General features: G+C 39.7%; 1 protein-coding gene across 45 annotated transcripts in view; it reads left to right on the forward strand.

Annotated features, from left to right (window-relative positions):
- The window catches only part of ART3 (ADP-ribosyltransferase 3 (inactive)), a 101,597-nt gene that overhangs the window by 63,654 nt on the left and 18,091 nt on the right, over positions 1–19,852 (forward strand). For all 45 annotated transcript variants that reach the window (XM_047415697.1, XM_047415700.1, XM_047415695.1 and 42 more), the window contains 2 exons: positions 1,038–1,115; positions 6,981–7,692. In XM_047415697.1, coding sequence (XP_047271653.1) covers positions 1,047–1,115; positions 6,981–7,692 — 781 coding nt within the window. In that variant the 5' untranslated portion in view covers positions 1,038–1,046. The remainder of the gene's footprint in view (positions 1–1,037; positions 1,116–6,980; positions 7,693–19,852) is intronic.

Below are 19,852 nucleotides of genomic sequence, written 5' to 3' on the forward strand. Positions count from 1 at the left end.
TCAGACTAAAGAAATGAACAATTTTTAGGAAAATCCTGATCAAAGCTTGCTTAAAACATATTGCCTTGTGACAGATATCTATCATCTTATATTCAAATCTTTTTTGGAAAGAGAAGTTTAACACAAAGTAGCATGTTGGTACTATATTTTAGTATTTTTAGTAAAAACAAAACAAAACTGCTTCTGAAGAAATATGGGAAACTGAGGCCAAAATGATCTATAAAAGGGAAGACTTCTCCCTTCCCCTGTGCTGTTCATTCTCATTTTTAGAATCCAGAATATGGTGATTGGTAGGGTAAAATAGAAGCTTCATTTGAGTTACATTATCATAAATACTGGGATGAATATTAGGCATTCGGCCAATAGTTGTATAATCTTAGAATTGCTGCCTACCCAGTTCCTTCTTATTCTTGTTCCCGCCTTCAGAAAGTTATGTAAGACACTTATTTTACCCTCGGGCTTCTCTTGATTGTATTTGGGGGAAGGGGGCCATCTCTGACAATCCACTGCTTTGTACCACTACTGACCTCATCATCTCCTCTGTCCCACTCAAAAGGGCATGACAATGTGCAAAGAGGATAGAAGAATGGATAATGTGCATGGACATATTCCTGGGGAATTCTTAGAAACTGGGAGCTAGGGGACCAATTTGAGACTGCTGTTTTTTAGTCTGATTGTGTTATTTCCTGTGCACGCTGAGGGGAGATTTAGAGATGGGAAGAAAATATGACTCCCAGTGACTGTGGTGGGAGAGATGACATGTCTGGAGGAGTATGGAAATGCACAGATTTAATCTTGAGCAAATCACTGAAATTCTAAGGTGTTTTTGTTTCCTCGTCTGTAGAATGAGAGCATTAGACCACTAGATAAAGCCTAATGGCTCTTGTAGCCCGTTAGGAATTTATTGATAATCACTTCCTGACCATCATGCTATCCACTCACATTCTAAATGAAAAAATACGCAGTGTCATCCTATTCTACTTCCCTACACCTCTTTTTTGAGTCTACTGAATTGAAATTTCTTTATTTTAATTTAGAAGAGAAAAATGAAGACGGGACATTTTGAAATAGTCACCATGCTGCTGGCAACCATGATTCTAGTGGACATTTTCCAGGTAATGTTGGGAATGGGAAGCATGTGGTCATTGGAATGGAAATTCGTTTTTTTTTTTTTTTGAGACGGAGTCTCTCTCTGTCGCCCAGACTGCTGGAGTGCAGTGGCTCGATTTCGGCTCACTGCAAGCTCCGCCTCCCAGGTTCATGCCATTTTCCTGCCTCAGCCTCCCCAGTAGCTAGGACTACAGGCGCCTGCCACCACGCCTGGCTAATTTTTTGTATTTTTGGTAGAGACGGGTTTTCACCATGTTAGCCAGGATGGTCTCGATCTCCTGACCTCATGATCCGCCCACCTCGACCTCCCAAAGTGCTGGGATTACAGGCGTGAGCCACCGCGCTTGGCCTGGAATGGAAATTCTTGATATAACATTACCTGAGGCATCTGTGTGGCTTGATGGTGGAAATGAAAGTAGGTAGGATAGGTAAATTAATTATAAGTAGCTCTTTTCATTTTAAATATGTGACAGATTAACTGTAAAAAGTTGAAAAAATTAAAATTAAGCAAAAAGAGGAAAGTAAAGATTATTCATAATTCCTCCACTCAGAGGGAATGATTCCCAACCTGTTGGTGTATACAGGCTTCTTGGCTTTTTTCTATGTGTATACTGTTTTTAATTTACAAAAATGGGTTCACACTGTACATAGAATTTTTTCTTTGCATTTTAAGTTAATACTATGCTGCATGTCACGCATGTCATCAGATATTCTGAATATATGTTTTTCTCCAAATAAGATAATGCTGCATTGTTTGATTACATGTTTTTTAATTAATGACCATTTTCCCACATTTTTTTTCTGGCAGAACTTTTATGATTTTATTTGCAATTGACTCTTTAAGCATCCTGTAACATATTTTTATGTAAAATATAATATTTCACTTGATTTTTTTTCCCCACGTTGTTAGCTGCCACATTACTTGTGGGTATTTGTGCACCATTTTAGATGCCTTTTTAAAAATATCTTAAATTCTTAAACTGTTATCCTTTTTTGAATTTAATATTCTAATCCATTTTCTATAGAATCATTGTGTATCCTGTTTCCTGTGTCGCAGTATGTTTTTTATTGAAATATAATTTACATACCATAAAAATTCACCATTTTTAGCTGTATACTTCAGTGGTTTCAGTATATTCATTATGTTCTGCAACCATCACCACTATCTGATTGCAAAACATTTCCGTCAACCCAAAAAGAAACCCTGTACTTATTAGCAGTCAGCCCCAATTTTCTCCATCCCCCATTCCCTGGCAACCACTGTCTACTTTCTGTGTCTATGGTTTTGCCTATTCTGGATATTTCGCCTAAATGGAATCATACAATATGTGACCTTTTGTGTCTGGCTTCTTTCACTTAGCATAATGTTCTCAGGAGTCCTATCAGTACTTCATTCTTTCTTATAGCCGAGTAATATTCTATTTTATGGCCGTACCGCATCTTGTTTATCCATTTATCAGCTGATGGACATTTGGGCTGTTTCCACTTTATGGCTATTACGAATAGTGGTGTTGTGAACATTTATGTACAAGTTTTTATGTGAACATGTGTTTTATTTTTCTTTTTAAAAAATTTTCTAATCATATAGTCTTGACATATTGAGATACTACAAACACTATTTGGTTATTTGGTAGCATTACAGAGTAAAGTTTACTTATATATAGGAAATATATATGTAAGAATGAATTTGGGGGTTATGATTTATGATTCATAGCAAAATTACCTATTGTTGTGAACATGTTTCACTTCTCTTGGGTGTACACCTAGTAGTGGAATTGCTGGGTTGTACGGTAATTTTATGTTAACTTTTTTAGGAACTGCCAAACTTTTTCACACTAGCTGCATGGTATTACAATCCCACCAGCAGTATATTAGGATTCTAATATCTCTGCATCCTTGTGTTACATGTTACTTGGTTTTTCATCATTTATAGCCATCGTAGAGGATATGAAGTGGTATTTCATTGTGGTTTTGATTTGGTTTTCAATATACTCTTGCAACATAATTTAAGTGTATTTGTTCTGTAATTGTTTCATGATTTGCTTAGCCAGTTTCTCTCCTTGACCTTTAGGTCATTTCCATATTTTTGTAAGAAATTTTTGGTAATTGAATTTCATTAGTATGGGCTTTTTTTCTCGGTGGTTATATCAGAGAAATATAATCAGCTTGTTCACCTAGCCTTTTGTACCTGTTTTTTAGTATCTGTTCAGTTGTCCCTGAATAGTGGTGGCATTTATGAACTTTGTCACTGCTCAAGGCACGCACCATACAAAATACACAATCAGCTATGGTGTCTGGCCAGAAAGACTTGATGTCTAAAATTAGACATTTGGAGACTGGTTAGAGGCATAGGGAAAAGACAGGAACATAGTAGATCAACTCTGATATAATGTAAGGAATGTGGGAGGTGTTTTCAGGGTCTGGTGTCTTATACGGTGTTGAAGTCTTGAAGATAAATCAGGCATTGGCACCCAAGCTGCACTCTGGTACATTCTGTGCTGTGGAGGAAAGTGCATTTCTTGGCTATGAGATGGCAGTGATTTGATCTCCTGAAGCTCAAATTCCCATGTCAGGAAACTGACCTACAAACCCAGGACTACGGGGGTCTTAATGACTTCCATGGCAGAATTCTCTGTGGCTAGTAATCAAGATAGTTTCTGAAGCTGGCACAATTCCCTCGTTTGTAAAATGGTGTTAACTATTTTTTGTTAACCTTTTATAAATGTTGTAATGAAGACAGAATTACACTCTTTTTCAAGTGCTACATAAATGTCCATGGTCTTCATAATTGGAAACATTCTGATTCTTTAGAGGCAACAGAACAGTTTGGTTAAGAGGACAAGACGGCCGGGCACGGTGGCTCACGCCTGTAATCCCAGCACTTTGGGAGGCCGAGAAAGGCAGATCACGAGGTCGGGAGATCGAGACCATCCTGGCTAACATGGTGAAACCCCGTCTCTACTAAAAATACAGAAAAATTAGCCGGGCGTGGTGGCGGGCGTCTGTAGTCCCAGCTACTGGGGAGGCTGAAGCGGGAGAATGGCGTGAACCCGGCAGGCGGAGCTTGCAGTGAGCCGAAATAGTGCCACTGCACTCCAGCCTGGGCGGCAGAGCGAGACTCCGTCTAAAAAAAAAAAAAAGGACAAGACTCTGGAATTAGACTGCCTGAGATCAAATTCCAATTCCATGTAAGTCTCAATCTCTTAGTTTCCTCATCTTTGTTAAAAAAAAAAAAAAAAAAGGCGGGGGGCTAATAATAGTACCTACCTCACAAGGTTGCCGAACACTTAGTGCCTGGCATATAGAAAGAACTCTGGAGATGTTTGTTAAACTTAGTGATAGAGTGTCCACCCAGTGTGTCTGAGAAGGAAATATGTAGGAAAAGTTCACAAATGAAAAATGGTTTTAAATAAGAACCAGGTCGTTGTGGCTGTACGATTGTAAGTTTCGTCTTAGACATGTTACGTATGAAGGTTCTTTGAACATTCAAGTGGAGGTGTTAAGTAGGCAGATAAATTTGATATATAGGACTGGCACTTACAGGATAGATCAGATATATTTAGATCATAATTGAAACTGTAAGCATGTATATAACTGCCTGGGGAGCGTAGAGTTGAGAGTTAGAAAATACGTAGCCTTGAGGAACTCCAACATTTAATGGCTAACTGGAATATGTTGGGTCTGCAAAAGAGTCTAAGAAGAAATGCTCCCTTAAGTGAGAGCTGTTTGGGTGGAGAAATGGGTGGGAAGCCATAATGGGGAGGGTTGAGCTATACGTGGGAAATGAAGTGGAGATGGCAAGGACAGACATCTCTTTCAAGATGTTTGTTCGTGAGGGAGAGAAGAGAGATGGGAAAGGAGATACCTAGAGCAGGATATGGAAGCAAGTTTTGTTTTGCGTTTACAAGTTAGTATCTCTGTCTCTCTCTCTCTGTCTCTCTCTCTTTCACTCTCTCTCTCTCTCTCACACACACACACAGAGAGAGAGAGAGAGAGAGTTTTTAAGTATCATTCACATAGAACCTGTAACTTTTTTTTTGAATCTGTAACTTTAACAGCTTCTAGCTAAATATGTCTATAAAGTCTCCAACTGAGGTCCCTAAGCAGACTTATGCAACTATGCACCATACAAGTATAGACTAATGGAAGAGGCATTATCCTTTTATTTGTAGAAACTCATAAATGGTATTCCTGGGGAGATTTGATCATCTTATTTTTTGATCCATAAGCCAGAGTACAGGGTTCTAATGTAGTTCACTTGAATATTTTGCCAGGTTCTGTGCTAGGTGTGTAGGATTCAAAGATAAAAACGATACAGACCGTACCCTTAAGGATCTAACAGTATAATACATATATTCCTAGCATGAAATAATACAAAAAAACCACATCACACTGGAGAAAGACCTTATGAAAAAATAATAATAACCACGGCATGTTAAAGACTTGATATGTGCCAGGCATGGGGCAGAGGGCTTTGCATATGTTCATTACATAATTTAATTCTCACAGCCATCCCACAGTTAAATACTATTTCCTCCACTTTGTCTTCCTTTTTTAATTTATTTTTTATTTTTTGAGATGGAGTTTTGCTCTTTTGCCCAGGCTGGAGTGCTGTGGTGCAGTCTCCGCTCCCTGCAACCTCCGCCTTCTGGTTTCAAGCGATTCTCCTGCCTCAGCTTCCTAAGTAGCTGGGATTACAGGCGCCTGCCACTACGCTCAGCTAATTTTTGTATTTTTAGTAGAGATGGGGTTTCATCATGTTAGCCAGGCTGGTCTTGAACTCCTGACCTCATGATCTGCCCGCCTCGGCCTCCCAGAGTGCTGGGATTACAGACATGAGCCACTGCACCTGGCCTTTTATCCTAATTTTTTTTAAAATTGAAAACTTGAGGATTAGAAATGTCAAGTAACTTTCCCATACCTAGTTAGTAACAAATGGGATTTGAACTCTGATCTGCCTGGCTTCAAAGTGGTGTTAATTACATTACACCACCCTGCTTCTTATGTTATGTGAACATATGTATATGTATAATTTAGTTGTATGTGGTATTATGCCTCTTCAGTTGTATGTGACTGAAATACAGTTCAAACTAGCTGAAGCAAACAGGGAATTTATTGATTCTTACAACTGGTGAAGAGTACAGTTAGGCCCAGCGTCTAAAGTATGTTTTCGGGTCCTCATCTCTACCTCTCAGCTCAGCAAGCCTTATTTGTTGCTTTATTTTAAGACAGAATTCTCCATGGGACTAAAGAATAACTGTTGGAAGCCCTAGGCCAATATTATCCTTAGAGCTTACAGCTTTAGAGGAAGAAAGATCCATTTTTTTCCTCTGGGAGCTCTGATTGCTAGACTTTAGATCACCTGCTTATCCAGGAGGTGCAAAATCATTTCTACCCAGGCCATATGGACAAGGGAGGGGGCAACCCCAAAGGAAAAGGGTAATGTTTGTCATTATGTGTTATAGATCATGAATAATATTTTGCATATGATACTTCAAATTCCCAACAGCCTTGAAGGGTTGAAGAAATCTAGCTAAGATGTTCAAAGCCAGGACTGCCACCCATTTCTTTAGCTTCACATCCATTGTTCTTTGCTCTGTGCCATAATGTCCAGATAAATGAGCTACAGGCACAATCTCACCCATACCTCTCACCCACTGACATTTACTCTTTCACACAAATATGGCACAGCTGAGAAAAGTTATCAATAGCAATGGAATATACTTCCTGCATAAAAACCTACCCAAAATTGGTTATAAGTCAGGCGAGAATTTTGGCAAGGGATGAGAAGGTGGGGGTAATAATGTGAGAGAAAATGATATTCACTGAATTTCTTATTTCAAGAGTATTAATTTCTTTTTCCTTTGAAGGTGAAGGCTGAAGTGTTAGACATGGCAGATAATGCATTTGATGATGAATACCTGAAATGTACGGACAGGATGGAAATTAAATACGTTCCCCAACTGCTAAAGGAGGAAAAAGCAAGCCACCAGCAATTAGATACTGTGTGGGAAAATGCAAAAGCCAAATGGGCAGCCCGAAAGACTCAAATCTTTCTCCCTATGAATTTTAAGGATAACCATGGAATAGCCCTGATGGCATATATTTCCGAAGCTCAAGAGCAAACTCCCTTTTACCATCTGTTCAGTGAAGCTGTGAAGATGGCTGGCCAATCTCGAGAAGATTATATCTATGGCTTCCAGTTCAAAGCTTTCCACTTTTACCTCACAAGAGCCCTGCAGTTGCTGAGAAAACCTTGTGAGGCCAGTTCCAAAACTGTGGTATATAGAACAAGCCAGGGCACTTCATTTACATTTGGAGGGCTAAACCAAGCCAGGTTTGGCCATTTTACCTTGGCATATTCAGCCAAACCTCAGGCTGCTAATGACCAGCTCACTGTGTTATCCATCTACACATGCCTTGGAGTTGACATTGAAAATTTTCTTGATAAAGAAAGTGAAAGAATTACTTTAATACCTCTGAATGAGGTTTTTCAAGTGTCACAGGAGGGGGCTGGCAATAACCTTATCCTTCAAAGCATAAACAAGACCTGCAGCCATTATGAGTGTGCATTTCTAGGTGGTAAGTGTCTGCTCTGTCTGTGCTTGGCTGGGAGGGAAGGAGTGGGATTCTTAGGCTTAGGGAAAGGTCAGTGAAAGGAGAGTGAGAGGTGTTTGAAAGGTGAAATGACATTCCGTCTAGCTTCTTTCATACTATCTCTTTACCCATAGTTAATTTTATGAAAATTGTACATTTACAGTATTATTAAAAGTTAAAAAAAATTAGCACTATAAGGCAGTGGTTCTTAACCAAAGGCAGTTTTGCCCTGCAGGGTCATTTGGCAATGGTCAGAAACATTTTTGGTTGTCACAGTTGGGGAAAAGGGGGATTGCTACTGACATCTAATGGGTAGAGGCCAGAAACACTGATAGACAATGCATAGGACAGCCCCACACAACAAAGAATTATATGGCCCAAAATGTTGGTAGTGCTGATGTTGAGAGACCCTACTATAAGGCTTACAATAAATAAATAGTGCAGCCTGGGAAACATAGGGAGACCACCATTTCTGCTAAAATAAAAATAAATTAAAAATTAGCCAGGCATGGTGGCACATGCCTGTGGTCCCAGCTGCATGGGAGGCTGAAGTGGGAGGATTGCTTGAGCCCAAGAAGTCCAGGCTGTAGTGAGCTGTAATCACACCACTGCACTGCAGTCTTGCAGCAGAGCAAGACCCTGTCTCAAAAAAGAAGAAAAAGAAAAATAGCAGTCGCCAGCCCCACCTTTCCTCAATTTCCACTCCTCAGTGGCATCCAGTTTTCATTCTTTTAGCTATTTCTTCAGGTGCTTACTGTCATGTTTCCAAGTAAATAACATGCTTCAACATGTTATTTCTTGGTTTTTAAATCTTTAGACATCATGTATTGACTTCCTACTACAGAGAATGAGTATGTAACCCTCATCTACCGTGTATTAGTTAAGAATTTTTTATGTGTTCAGCTGTAAATAACAGAAAACCTGACTGAGCTTTCATTTAATAAGTCTTAGAGGCAGGCTGTTCAGAGTCAGCGCAGTGGCTCATCCATGTCATGTCACTCATGCTCTTTCTTTCTGTTCCACCATCCTTACCATGTTTTGTTTGTTGATTCATGTTTGCACTTGTGACTGTTGCAGCTCTAGGCATCAATCCATGTCCAAGACAAAAAGAAAGTAAAGGGGATGACAGCCAAATCTACTTGTTCAGTAAGGAAAGTAAAAGTTTTCCCAGAAACCCTTACTAAACTCCTGATTACAGGTCATTGACTTGAACAGTTTCTTGGTCACCCATAGCTACCAGAGAAGCTTGGGAAGGGGGTAATTATCCTTTCTCCAGCCAAGGGAATATAGTGTGTGGGGGAGACAAAGGAAAAGGGAATTAGAAATGGCTGTTAGATCAGTAAACCAAAAGTTTCTGAAAGCCAACACCCTCCTTCCCAATGTACGTCCATTTCCCCCTTCCCATTCTCCCAGCATAGTAAAGACAGGTCATAGCTCAGTTAGAGTGGTTTTTCTGTGCTTAAATCCCTCTTTTACCCCAGGGTTATTCTATGATTTTTTTGTTTGTTTCCTTAGTTTTTTTAATATCCAATCAGTAATTCACCTCCAAATCCTTTGACAGAAATATAAATTTCTTCTTTCCCCTGGATAATTCCCTCATCATACTGCTCTATGATAAGCTCTTTAGGCCTGCTGAACATCCTGAAATCTCTCATTACCATTCTGAGATATTGCTTCTTCCCTATGAGAGATCTCCTATTTCTTGGATTTGCAACTCTTTCTTGGATTACTACTTTGTTTGGTGTGGTGGGGATGGGGGTTCTGCAGAAGTTTCGGAGAAATGGTCCACTAAAGAAAATTTTCTAAGTCTCTGCATCTCTGAGAGATCTGCCTTTAAGCTTGATTAATAGTTTATGTAGATTTGCATTTCTATTTTAGAAACTATTTTTCCTTGGAATTTTGAAGATATTCCTCCAGTGACTTCTAGGTTCTGTAGCTGTTGTTGAAAGGTATGAAGCCATTCTAATTACTAAAACTTTGAATAAGACTTTTTAAAAACAAAAATCTGGAAGGTTTTAGGTTGTTTTCTTTATTCCCAACATTCTGAAATTTTATGGTGTTGTGCCTTAGTGTGTGTGAGCAAAGGGTTAGTAAACTCCTTCTCCTGTCTTCTGTGAAAATGGCCTCCTGGTGATCTTCCAGCACTCTCTCTGCAATCTATGAAAGGTGGAATGACAGCTGTGTGACCTTACAGCATTGCCTGTGGTAAACATAACCCTTGATTGGTAAAGTGCATCTGAGCTGGGAGGATTGTGAATGAACTATAAATACTTGAGGAGAAGCCATAGCTTTGGGCTTTCCTGAATGTGGTGTGACATACCCAGGTGTTCTTCTTGTTGAGTCCTGGAAGGACAGCAGTACTCTCGTACCAATCCTGCATAGGTTCAAAATATATTGTATTTTATATGTGGCATGAGGCTACTAAGCTAGAGAGGCTCCTACACCCACCTGTGTAATCTTGTTTCCTTGAACCTGAGCTGTAATTTGGAAGCAAAAGAACAGCCCTGGACTCCTGTGAAGACTTGCATTAAAGGAACACATCTGATGCTGCTCTGCTGCTAGACAGTATGCTTTATTCACTGCTGTATATTCTTCTGCAAAACTGAGTAAACTGGTGAGGGGTTGGCCTTTTTGGGTCTTGAAGGTGTGATTGCCTAACTGAACCAAAAACCATCGCTGCTGGGTCAAGTAAAGTGTGCAGTAGGCCTCAAAGTGGGATAGACTTTTAGATCTTGACTAAATGTAGCCAAGGTACTATGAGATAAAAAAGGCTGGGTGGTAGGGAAGTGCTAATGAGACATTGATGTCTGGGTAGGGACAGATCCACTTATGATTGGATGGCAGAAGCTGTGTGGCTATTGAGGTGCCTAGGGTGAAAATTTTAAGGAAGTCCTCACTCTTAGGGCTGTACCTGCACTTGTATATTCCTGAGAGTGCCTCCTTAAATTTTCTCTAGGCACCTTATTTGCCTCACCCTAGTCCTGCATCTGAGTTGCACCTGAGAAGGACGATTCTAGTTAGAGCAGATGAAAGCTGAAATGAGTAAATTTGGTTGAAAGAAAAAGTGTTTATAAAAAGATAGGGGAAAAAAGACAAAAGACGAGATGAGAAATGCTGGCTAGGGTTTGGAGAAGAGGGAACCCTGGAACACTGTTGGTAGGAAGGTAGATTGGTGCAGCCATTATGGAAAACAGTATGGAGGTTTCTATCTTTAAATAGAAATTAAAAATAGAACTGCTGGTCAGGCACAGTGGCTCATGCCTGTAATCCCAGCGCTTTGGGAGGCCGAGGCGGGCAGATCACCTGAGGTCAGGAGTTCGAGACCAGATTGGCCAACATGGTGAAATACCATCTCTACTAAAAATACAAAAATTAGCCAGGCGTGGTGCCACGTGCCTGTAATCACAGCTACTTAGGAGGCTGAGACAGGAGAATTGCTTGAACCCAGGAAGAGGAGGTTGCAGTGAGCTGAGACTGCACAACTGCACTCCAGCCTGGTCAACAAGAGTCCCCCCCCCCGCTCCCTCCCCGCAGAAAAACAGAACTACCATATGACCCAGTAATCCCTTTCTTGGGTATATACCCCAAAGAGTTGAAATCACCGCCTCATAAAGATATCTGCACTCTCATGTTCACTGCAGCATTATTCACGGTAACCAAGATATAGAAACAACCTAAATGTCCACCAGCAGACAAGGGGGTAAGGAAAATGAGGTATATATACAATAGGATATTATTCAGCCTTAAAAAAAGAGAGAGATTCTGCCATTTGCCACAACATGGATGGACCTGGAGGACATTAGGCTAAGTGAAATAAGCCAGACACAGAAAGCTATTGCATGATCTCAGTTATATGTGGAATATATATGAGATCAAAAACGAGAGAATGAAACAGTAGTTACCACAGGTGTGGGGAGAGGAACTGAAGAGATGTAGATCAAAGGATACCAAATAGCAGACAGGTAGGATGAACAGATTTGGAGATCTAATGTGTAACATGAGGACTAAAGTCAGTAAAATTGTATTTTACTTAAATAAGGATTTTAGCTCTCTTGCTACATATACAAAAATATGTGAGATGATAGCTATGTTAATTTGCTTCACTATAGTAACCATTTTACTATCCATATGTATTTCATGGTTTCATGTAAACCTTAAATATACACAATAAAATTCAGTTTTTAAAAAAGGAAAGGTGCTCATTCTCACCAACCATACATTGGACCTGACCCAAAACCAAGCCAGCTGGGGCCAGTTTAGACGAGCTCATGGGAACTGATCGTGGGTATGCATGTCTTCTTTCCTGCTCCCCCTATGTGACAGTAGCCTGAAATTGGCCATAGTTTAGAGTTATACCATGGAAATCAGAAAACACTGCAAACCAGGGTCTCCCTCCCTCCCTACACCAATCTTGTGAAACTTTATCAGCATAGCACAGCCAAAAACCCGGCTGCAGCTGGGCTGACAGAAATGGTACCGCTTTTGGTGTTTTTGATGCCTTTGGCCAGATGCCGTTTGTGGAACCGTTAGTTATATCAAAGCCCTGGCTGCAGTGGCTACAAGCTAAATGTAGCACAGGGGTCTGGTTGATGGGCTGAGGTGGGCAATGGAGCCCACAGACTCCATGTTTGTGAGTGGGATTATGAAAGAACCAAAGAGGTTCTATTGGATTGATTCTGAAAATGCCAGAGTTCAGACCCGCGTGGAGAAGTGCGGGTCATTGTGGAGGCGCACGTGTACCATGTGTTTAGGGAGCTATGACAGTCAGCCATTGTACTCGAGTGTGTTGATTTAACCCTGGGCTGGAGTCCTCTGCCGCCATCTAGAGATGGAAAGTCAGGATCAAAAACTCCCTGGAGTAACCTTTAAAGACAGGCAGTTTGAAACAGTGTGAAGAACAATGGCCAAGTGTTTTAAGAGCCCTAGCTAAGGAGAATGTAGTGAGAATCTTGTTCCATTGTGACTGGATATAACTGAGCCTTTGGATTAAAAAAAGACAATGTTTCTAAAAGGGGTAAAAAAAATTTTTACTGCGTTACGTTTAGTGTGCTAAACATAGTCCCACAATGTTTTAAACTTGCCTGTGATTTCCAAGATAAATATATATTGTGAGTTTTTCAAAAACTAGTTAGCTGAAAACTTTGTTCGTTAGGAAGCAGAGAGAATATCAACATCTCTTTAGATAATATAGTTCCTGGTGGTCATAGACATTAATCTTGGTATTAATCCAAGCTGATGTGAGTGAAAAGGAGTAACAGAAACCTTTCTCCTTCCTCAATAGAAAATTAGCCCAGGTTAACTAACTTTTATGCTATTTTTCTAGAAAATGCGATAAAGTTGAAATGTTAGCTGTATAATCAAGCTACATCCATTATCATTAAAAATTACTCCATTGGGGCTGGGTGCAGTGGTGTGTGCCTGTAGACCCAACTACTGGGGAGGCTGAGGCAAGAGGATCCCTTGACCCGAGGGATTCAGGTGCAGCCTGGGCAACATAATGAGACACCCATCTCTTAAAAAAATTACTCCATTGGAAAATTATACCTCAATTGGGAGGACGGTGAATGAATTATAAATACCTGGTGGGAAGCCATGGCTTTGGGGCTCCCTGCACCCTACAGGGCAAATATACTAGGTTTATAGGAAGAAAATTTATATGCAGAGAAATAGTAGAGCACATATCATCCCCTGAACTCTCTTTTTTTTTTTTTACTGAACAGAGTAGGCAGAGATTATCTGGCATTTTGGTCAATGTTTCCATAGAGAGAGGCGTGCCTGTATAATGCTCTACATAATTTATAGAGTAAGAGGGCCAGGGAATATTGTTCCCTGGCTGGAAAGTAGCCTTGATAGAAAGGAGGAGCCTGTAGACTCCAGTGGCTAGTAGTATTATTTTGTAGAGTTTACTGAGACCTGTTGAGCCAGCTCTCTGCTAAGCCATCAAAAGGGGGAAAGAAGGTGAGCCTACAGGACTATCCAGATTTATTTGTTATAAATCTACCCCAGCCCTTGTGTGCTTATTAAATGTTAAGTATCTCCATTGGTTCTGATTGGCACCTTTCTTTAGCATTTCCTGGGAGTAGCAAAGTTTCTGTACTGTTGTCTGGGATTGTCTAAGATTGAGACATCAATAAGATCCATGTCTCTAGGCCTAATAGGAAGTGACATATCCAACACCATAAGAAATTCGTACTTCTAAACAGTGGCTGAAATGTCCCTGAATGCTATAGCAAATTCACCAGGCTGCCAAGGAATATTTTTAAATTTCAAAACAGACACCGCCATACTTGATATTTGTCAGACACTGGGTGAACTACTAGCTTGAGGTGGAACTCAGTTTCAAAGTTACATGTTATATCATAGTACATTCTGTTTGATGACATCATAAATTTGCAAAGCTGGATCTTTTTAGCAATTGTTGTAATGAAACCAAGTATATGTGAAAATCAATGTGGCATTTATCAATACCCCAAATTAATAAATATTTATATCTTAACACCTTAGTAAACATTTGAAAAAATAGCACATACTTTTTAAAAGTACTATTATTTTATTCTTAACAATAATTACTTGCTAATGGGATGTGTTTGCTTTTTGGACATTCACAGCTTCTCAGACCCTGGAATCAGATTGTGTACTATCTCATTTCCTGTTCCACACTGATTTTCACATATACTTGCTTTTTGCGACAACAATTGCTAAAAAGACCTACCTTGCAAATGATATGGTTTGGATCTGTGTTCCTACTCAAATCTCATGTTCAGTTGTAATCTCCAATGTTGGAGATGGGGCCTGGAAGGAGGTGATTGGATCATGGGGGCTGTTTCTAATTATTTAGCACCGTCCCCTTTGTGCTGTTATCATGATAGAGTTCTCACAACATCTGGTTGTTTAAAAATGTGTAGCATCTTCCCCCTCTCCCTCTTCCTCTTGCTCTGGCCATGTAAGACGAGCCTGCTTCCCCTTCACCTTATGCCATGAGTGTAAGTTTCCTGAGGCCTCCCCTGCCACGCTTCCTGTACAGCCTGCCGAATCATGAGCCAATCAAAACTCCTTTCTTTATAAATTACCCAGTCTCAGATATTTCTTTATAGCAGTGGGAGAACAGATATATGTCATCAAACAGTTTGTAACATGATATAACCTGTAGCTTTAAAACTGAGTTCTACCTCAAGCTAGTAGTTCACACGGTGTCTGACAGATATCAAGCCTGGCTGTGTTTTTCTTGAAATTTAAAATATTCTTTGGAGGCTGGGCGCGGTGGCTCACGTCTGTAATCCCAGCACTTTGGGAGGCCGAGGCGGGCAGATCACGGGGTCAGGTGTTCGAGACCAGCCTGGCCAACATGGTGAAACCCCGTCTCTACTAAAAATACAAAAATTAGCCAGGCATGGTGGTGGGTACCTGTAGTCCCAGCTACTCGGGAGGCTGAGGCAGGAGAATCACTTGAACCTGGGAGGCAGAGGTTGCAGTGAGCTGAGATTGCGCCATTGCACTCCAGCCTGGGTGACAAGAGTGAAACTCCATCTTAAAATAAATAAATAAATAAAAATATTCTTTGGTAGCCCTGTGAACACCTCAGCCACTGTTTAGAAAAACCACAGATCTAATGGCAGGTCAGCCACATGTTTGTGAAAGTGGATTAGGTTTTAGTAGCCAGGTTTGGCCCTTTATTGGAGGTAAGATTTCCATATGACAGTGGAGCTTTCGAGAGTTCGTCCAGCCTTATGGGAATTTAGTTCAGAGAGAACGTATTGCATAATAAGATACTGGTTTAGTGAATCATGACTTTTCTTTCGATAAGACAGTCTGTCTCAATTAGGCCCAGTTAACAGGCTAGCAGTAACAGCCCTGCAGAAAGAGGAAGTCCTCGTGACCTACAAATTCTGACGTAGCCTTGTTGCCAGAGATTCTAATCAGCTGTGAGTATAGTCATTGACATTTGTAATTTCTTTGGATCTGAAAGAGATAGGGAACTTGTGGGAGGGCTTTATTTACTCTTGTCCAGACTGCGTCTAATGTTTCTAACTGTAGACTTCTCTGCTAACATGACAGCCATGTAATCTCCAGTATTTAACAAGTCAGGGATGTGGAGGGCTTCTTTTGGTAGGGAACTAGAGACCAGATCCAAAACCTAGTCCTGTCCTGTTCATCCCATCCTCATAATTAAGAAAAAAAAATTTAATAGCTTTACTGAGTTATAATTGATATGCAATAAACTGCACATAAAGTAAAATTTAGTAAGTTTTGATATATGTATATGCCAATGAAATCATCACTACAATCAAGACAATGAGCATTTTACATTTGTTGCTTACAAAAGTTTCATTCCTCTTTGCAATTCCTTTCTCCTCCCTTTCCCTGTTTCCCAGTCCCCCCAGGCATCTACTAATGTACTTGCTGTCACTACAGATTAGTTGGCACTGTCTAGAGTTTCATTCAAATCTTATCATACAGTATATTCTCTTTTTTGCCTGGCTTCTTTCACTCGGCATAATTGTTTTGAGATTCATCTGTGTTGTTGCATGTATCAATAGTTTATTTATGCTGTTGTAGAATAGTGGATATAACACAGTTTACTTGTCTATTCACCTGTTGATGAGTACGTGGGTTGTTTCCAGTCCTTGGCTATTACAAATAAAACTTCTGTGAACATGTATATACAAGTCTTTGTATGGACATATGCTTTCATTACACTTGAGTAAATGCCTAGGAATGCATTGGCTGGATTATATGATAGGTATATGTGTAACTTTGGAAGAAGCTGCCAAATGGTTTTCCAGAGTACCTGTACCATTTTACATTCTCACCAGGAGTGTATAAGAGTTCTAGCTATACCACATTCTTGCCGACACTTGATAGATGTCTTTTTAACAGTTCTAAATAGATATGTGGTGGTATTTTATTGTAGTTTTAATTTGCATGTTCCTAATGAGTAATAATGTTGAGCATCTTTTCACATACTTATTTGCCATTTGTATATATTTACTGAAACACCTGCTCAAAGATTTTTGTCCACTTTTAATGAGGTTGTTTTCTTATCTTTTGAGAATTATTTATGTATTGTAGGTACGAGGTTTTTGTCTGATATGTGATTTGCAAATATTTTCTCTGAATTTGTAGCTTATCTTTTTTTTTTTTTTTTTTTTGAGACAGAGTCTCGCTCTGTCACCCAGGCTGGAGTACAGTGGCACAATTTTGGCTCACTGCAACCTCTGCTTCCTGGGTTCAAGCAATTCTCCTGCCTCAGTCTCCCAAGTAGCTGGGACTACAGGCATGTGCCATCACGCCTGGCTAATTTTTTGTATTTTTAGTAGAGACAGGGTTTCACCATGTTGGCCAGGCTGGCCTTGAACTCCTGACCTGAAGTGATCCACCTGCCTCAGCCTCCCAAAGTGCTGGGATTATAGGTGTGAGCCACTGTGCCTGGTGATTTATCTTTATTCCAGTATCATATATTGATCACTATAGCTATATAATAAACCTCAAAACCAGGTAGTGTTCATTGTATTCTTTTCTTGCAAAGTTGTTTTGGTGATTATATGTTCTTTATGCTTCCATATGAATTTTAGAATCACCTTGTCAATTTCTACAATTTCTGCTTGGATTTTGATTAAGCTTGCCTTGCATTTATAGATCAATATGAGAAGAGTTTTAAAAAATATACTTTTCCAACTCATGAACACAGCATAACATCTCCATTTATTTAGGTCTTAATTTCTGTCAGCTGTATCCAAATAGTGTTCAGTGTGTAAGGCTTTTCCATCTTTCGTCAGATTTACCTTTAAGTGTTGTATGTATGAAAAGTTTATTTCACCTTCAGTTTTGAAAGCTGTTTTCACTGGGTATAGAATTCTAGATTGATCTTTTTTTTGTCTTTTAGTAGTTTACAAATTTACTGTTCCTCTGTTGTTTTACTTAAATTGCTTCTGACAAAAAAATCTGCTGTGCTCCTCATTTCTGCTCCTCTTTATTTAGCTCCCCTGCTCCCCACTGGCTGCTTTTAAGACTTTGTGTTTATCATACTTATTTGGACCAATTTGATTATGATGTAACTTAGTGTCATTTTTTTTTCATGTATCTTGTGCTTGGAGTTCATTGAACTTATGGATTTGTAGGTTCATAGTTTTCATCATATTTGGAAAGTTGTGACTACTGTTTGTGCAAATATTTTTTCACCCCTCTCTTCTTCCTTTAGGGATTCTGTTTATATGTATATTAAACTGCTTGAGGTTGTCCCCAGCTCAATGAAACTCTAATGTTTCTTGTTATTAGTATTTTTCTCTGTTTCATTTTTAGATGTTTTCTATTGTTTTGTATATTTCAGTACTTCATTGCTGCCATAACAAATTACCACAAATTTAATGGTTTAAAACAACACATCTAGATTTATTATCATAAAATTCTGTATTTCAGAAGCCTGACATAAGTCTTGCTGAGCTGAAATTAAGGTGTTGGTAGGGCTGCATTCCTTCCCAGGAGCTTAGGCAAGAATCTGTTTTCTTGCTTTTTCCAGCTTCCAGAGGTTACCTGCATTCCTTGGTTTGTGGCCTCCTTCATCCATCTTCAGTCAGAAACAGCATGTTGATGGCCAGGTGTGGTGGCTCATGCCTGTAATCTCAGCACTTTGGGAGGCTGAGGCAGGAGGATCACTTGAGTTCAGGAGTTTGAGACCAGCCTGGGCAACATAGCGAGACCCTGTCTCTACAAAAAATAAAATAAAAAAAGTATCCAGGCATGGTGGCATGCATCTGTAGTTCCAGCTGCCTGTGATGGGCTGAGATGGGAGGATTGCTTGAGCCCAAGAGTTGATGTTGCAGTGAGCCACGACTGCGCCACTGTGCACTCCAGCCTAAGTGACAGAGGGAGACCCTGAGACCCCATCTCAAAAAAGAAAGAAACAGCATGTTGAGTCCTCCGCACCTCGCATCTCTCTGATCATCTCTTCTACTTCTTGTTTTTTCCACTTTTAAGAATTTATGTTATTAGATTGAGCTCACCTGGAAAATCCAAGATAATTGCCCCACCTGAAGGCCAGCTAATTAACAACATTATTTGCATCTTCAACCATTGTTCTCTTTTGCCATGTAAAATAACATATTCACAGGTTCTGGGGATAGGATGTAGACCTCTTTAAGAAGGGTATTATTCTGCATACCACAGTATGTCAAGTTTGCTAATCTTTTTTCTTCAGTGTCTAGTTTGTCAGTAATTCTATCTGGTGTATTTTTCATCTCAGAATTTTTATCTCTAGAAATTCAATTTGGGTCTTTTTATATTTTCCACGTCTCTACTTAACACCTGTTAGTAGTAATGACATACACTACTGAATGTATCCCCCCCAAAATTCATATGTTGAAGCCCTAATCCTCACTGTGATGGTATTTGGAGGTTGGGCCTTCAAGAAGTAATTAGGTTTAGATTAGGTTTTGATTAGGTCATGAGGGCTGGGAGTACCCATGACGGGGCTAATGTCCTTATAAGAAGAGGAAAGGAGACCATAGCTTTGTTCTTTCTCTGACATAATGAGGATATAGTGAGAAGGTGGCTATCTGCAAGCCAAGAAGAAAGCCTTTACCAGAAATTGAACCTGCCATTACCTTGATCTTGGATTTCCCAGCTCTGGAATTATGAGAAATAAAAATCTGTTGTTTAAGCCATCCAGTCAGGGTATTTTGTGTGGCAGCTGGAGGTAAGACAACACCTTTAACTATTTTTTGGACACATGGAATACAGTTGTAATGACTACTTTAATTTACTTTTCTGATAATACTAACATTTGTGTCAGCTCTGGGTTAGTTTCATTAGATTGAGTTCTCTTGTCATGATGAATTGTATTTTCCTGCTTCTTTGCTGGTAGTTTTTGATTGGGTGCCAGATGCTGTGAATTTTACCTTGTTGTGTGCATGGTAATTTTATATTTCTAAAAATATTCTTGAGCTTTGTTCTGGTACATAGTTAATTTACTTTAGAACAGTTTGATTGTTTTAGGGCTTATTCTTCAGATTTTCTAGGCAGAACCAGAGACACTTTAATCCAGGGCTCATTATTTCTCACTGCTGAGGCTGTACCCTTCTCAATACTCTACCTAATGCCTGTGAATTATAAGGTTTTCCAGCCTGGTTGATGGGAATAGACACTATTC

The sequence above is a fragment of the Homo sapiens genome, chromosome 4 (genome assembly GCF_000001405.40).
Source record: "Homo sapiens chromosome 4, GRCh38.p14 Primary Assembly".
Lineage (NCBI taxonomy): Eukaryota > Metazoa > Chordata > Mammalia > Primates > Hominidae > Homo > Homo sapiens.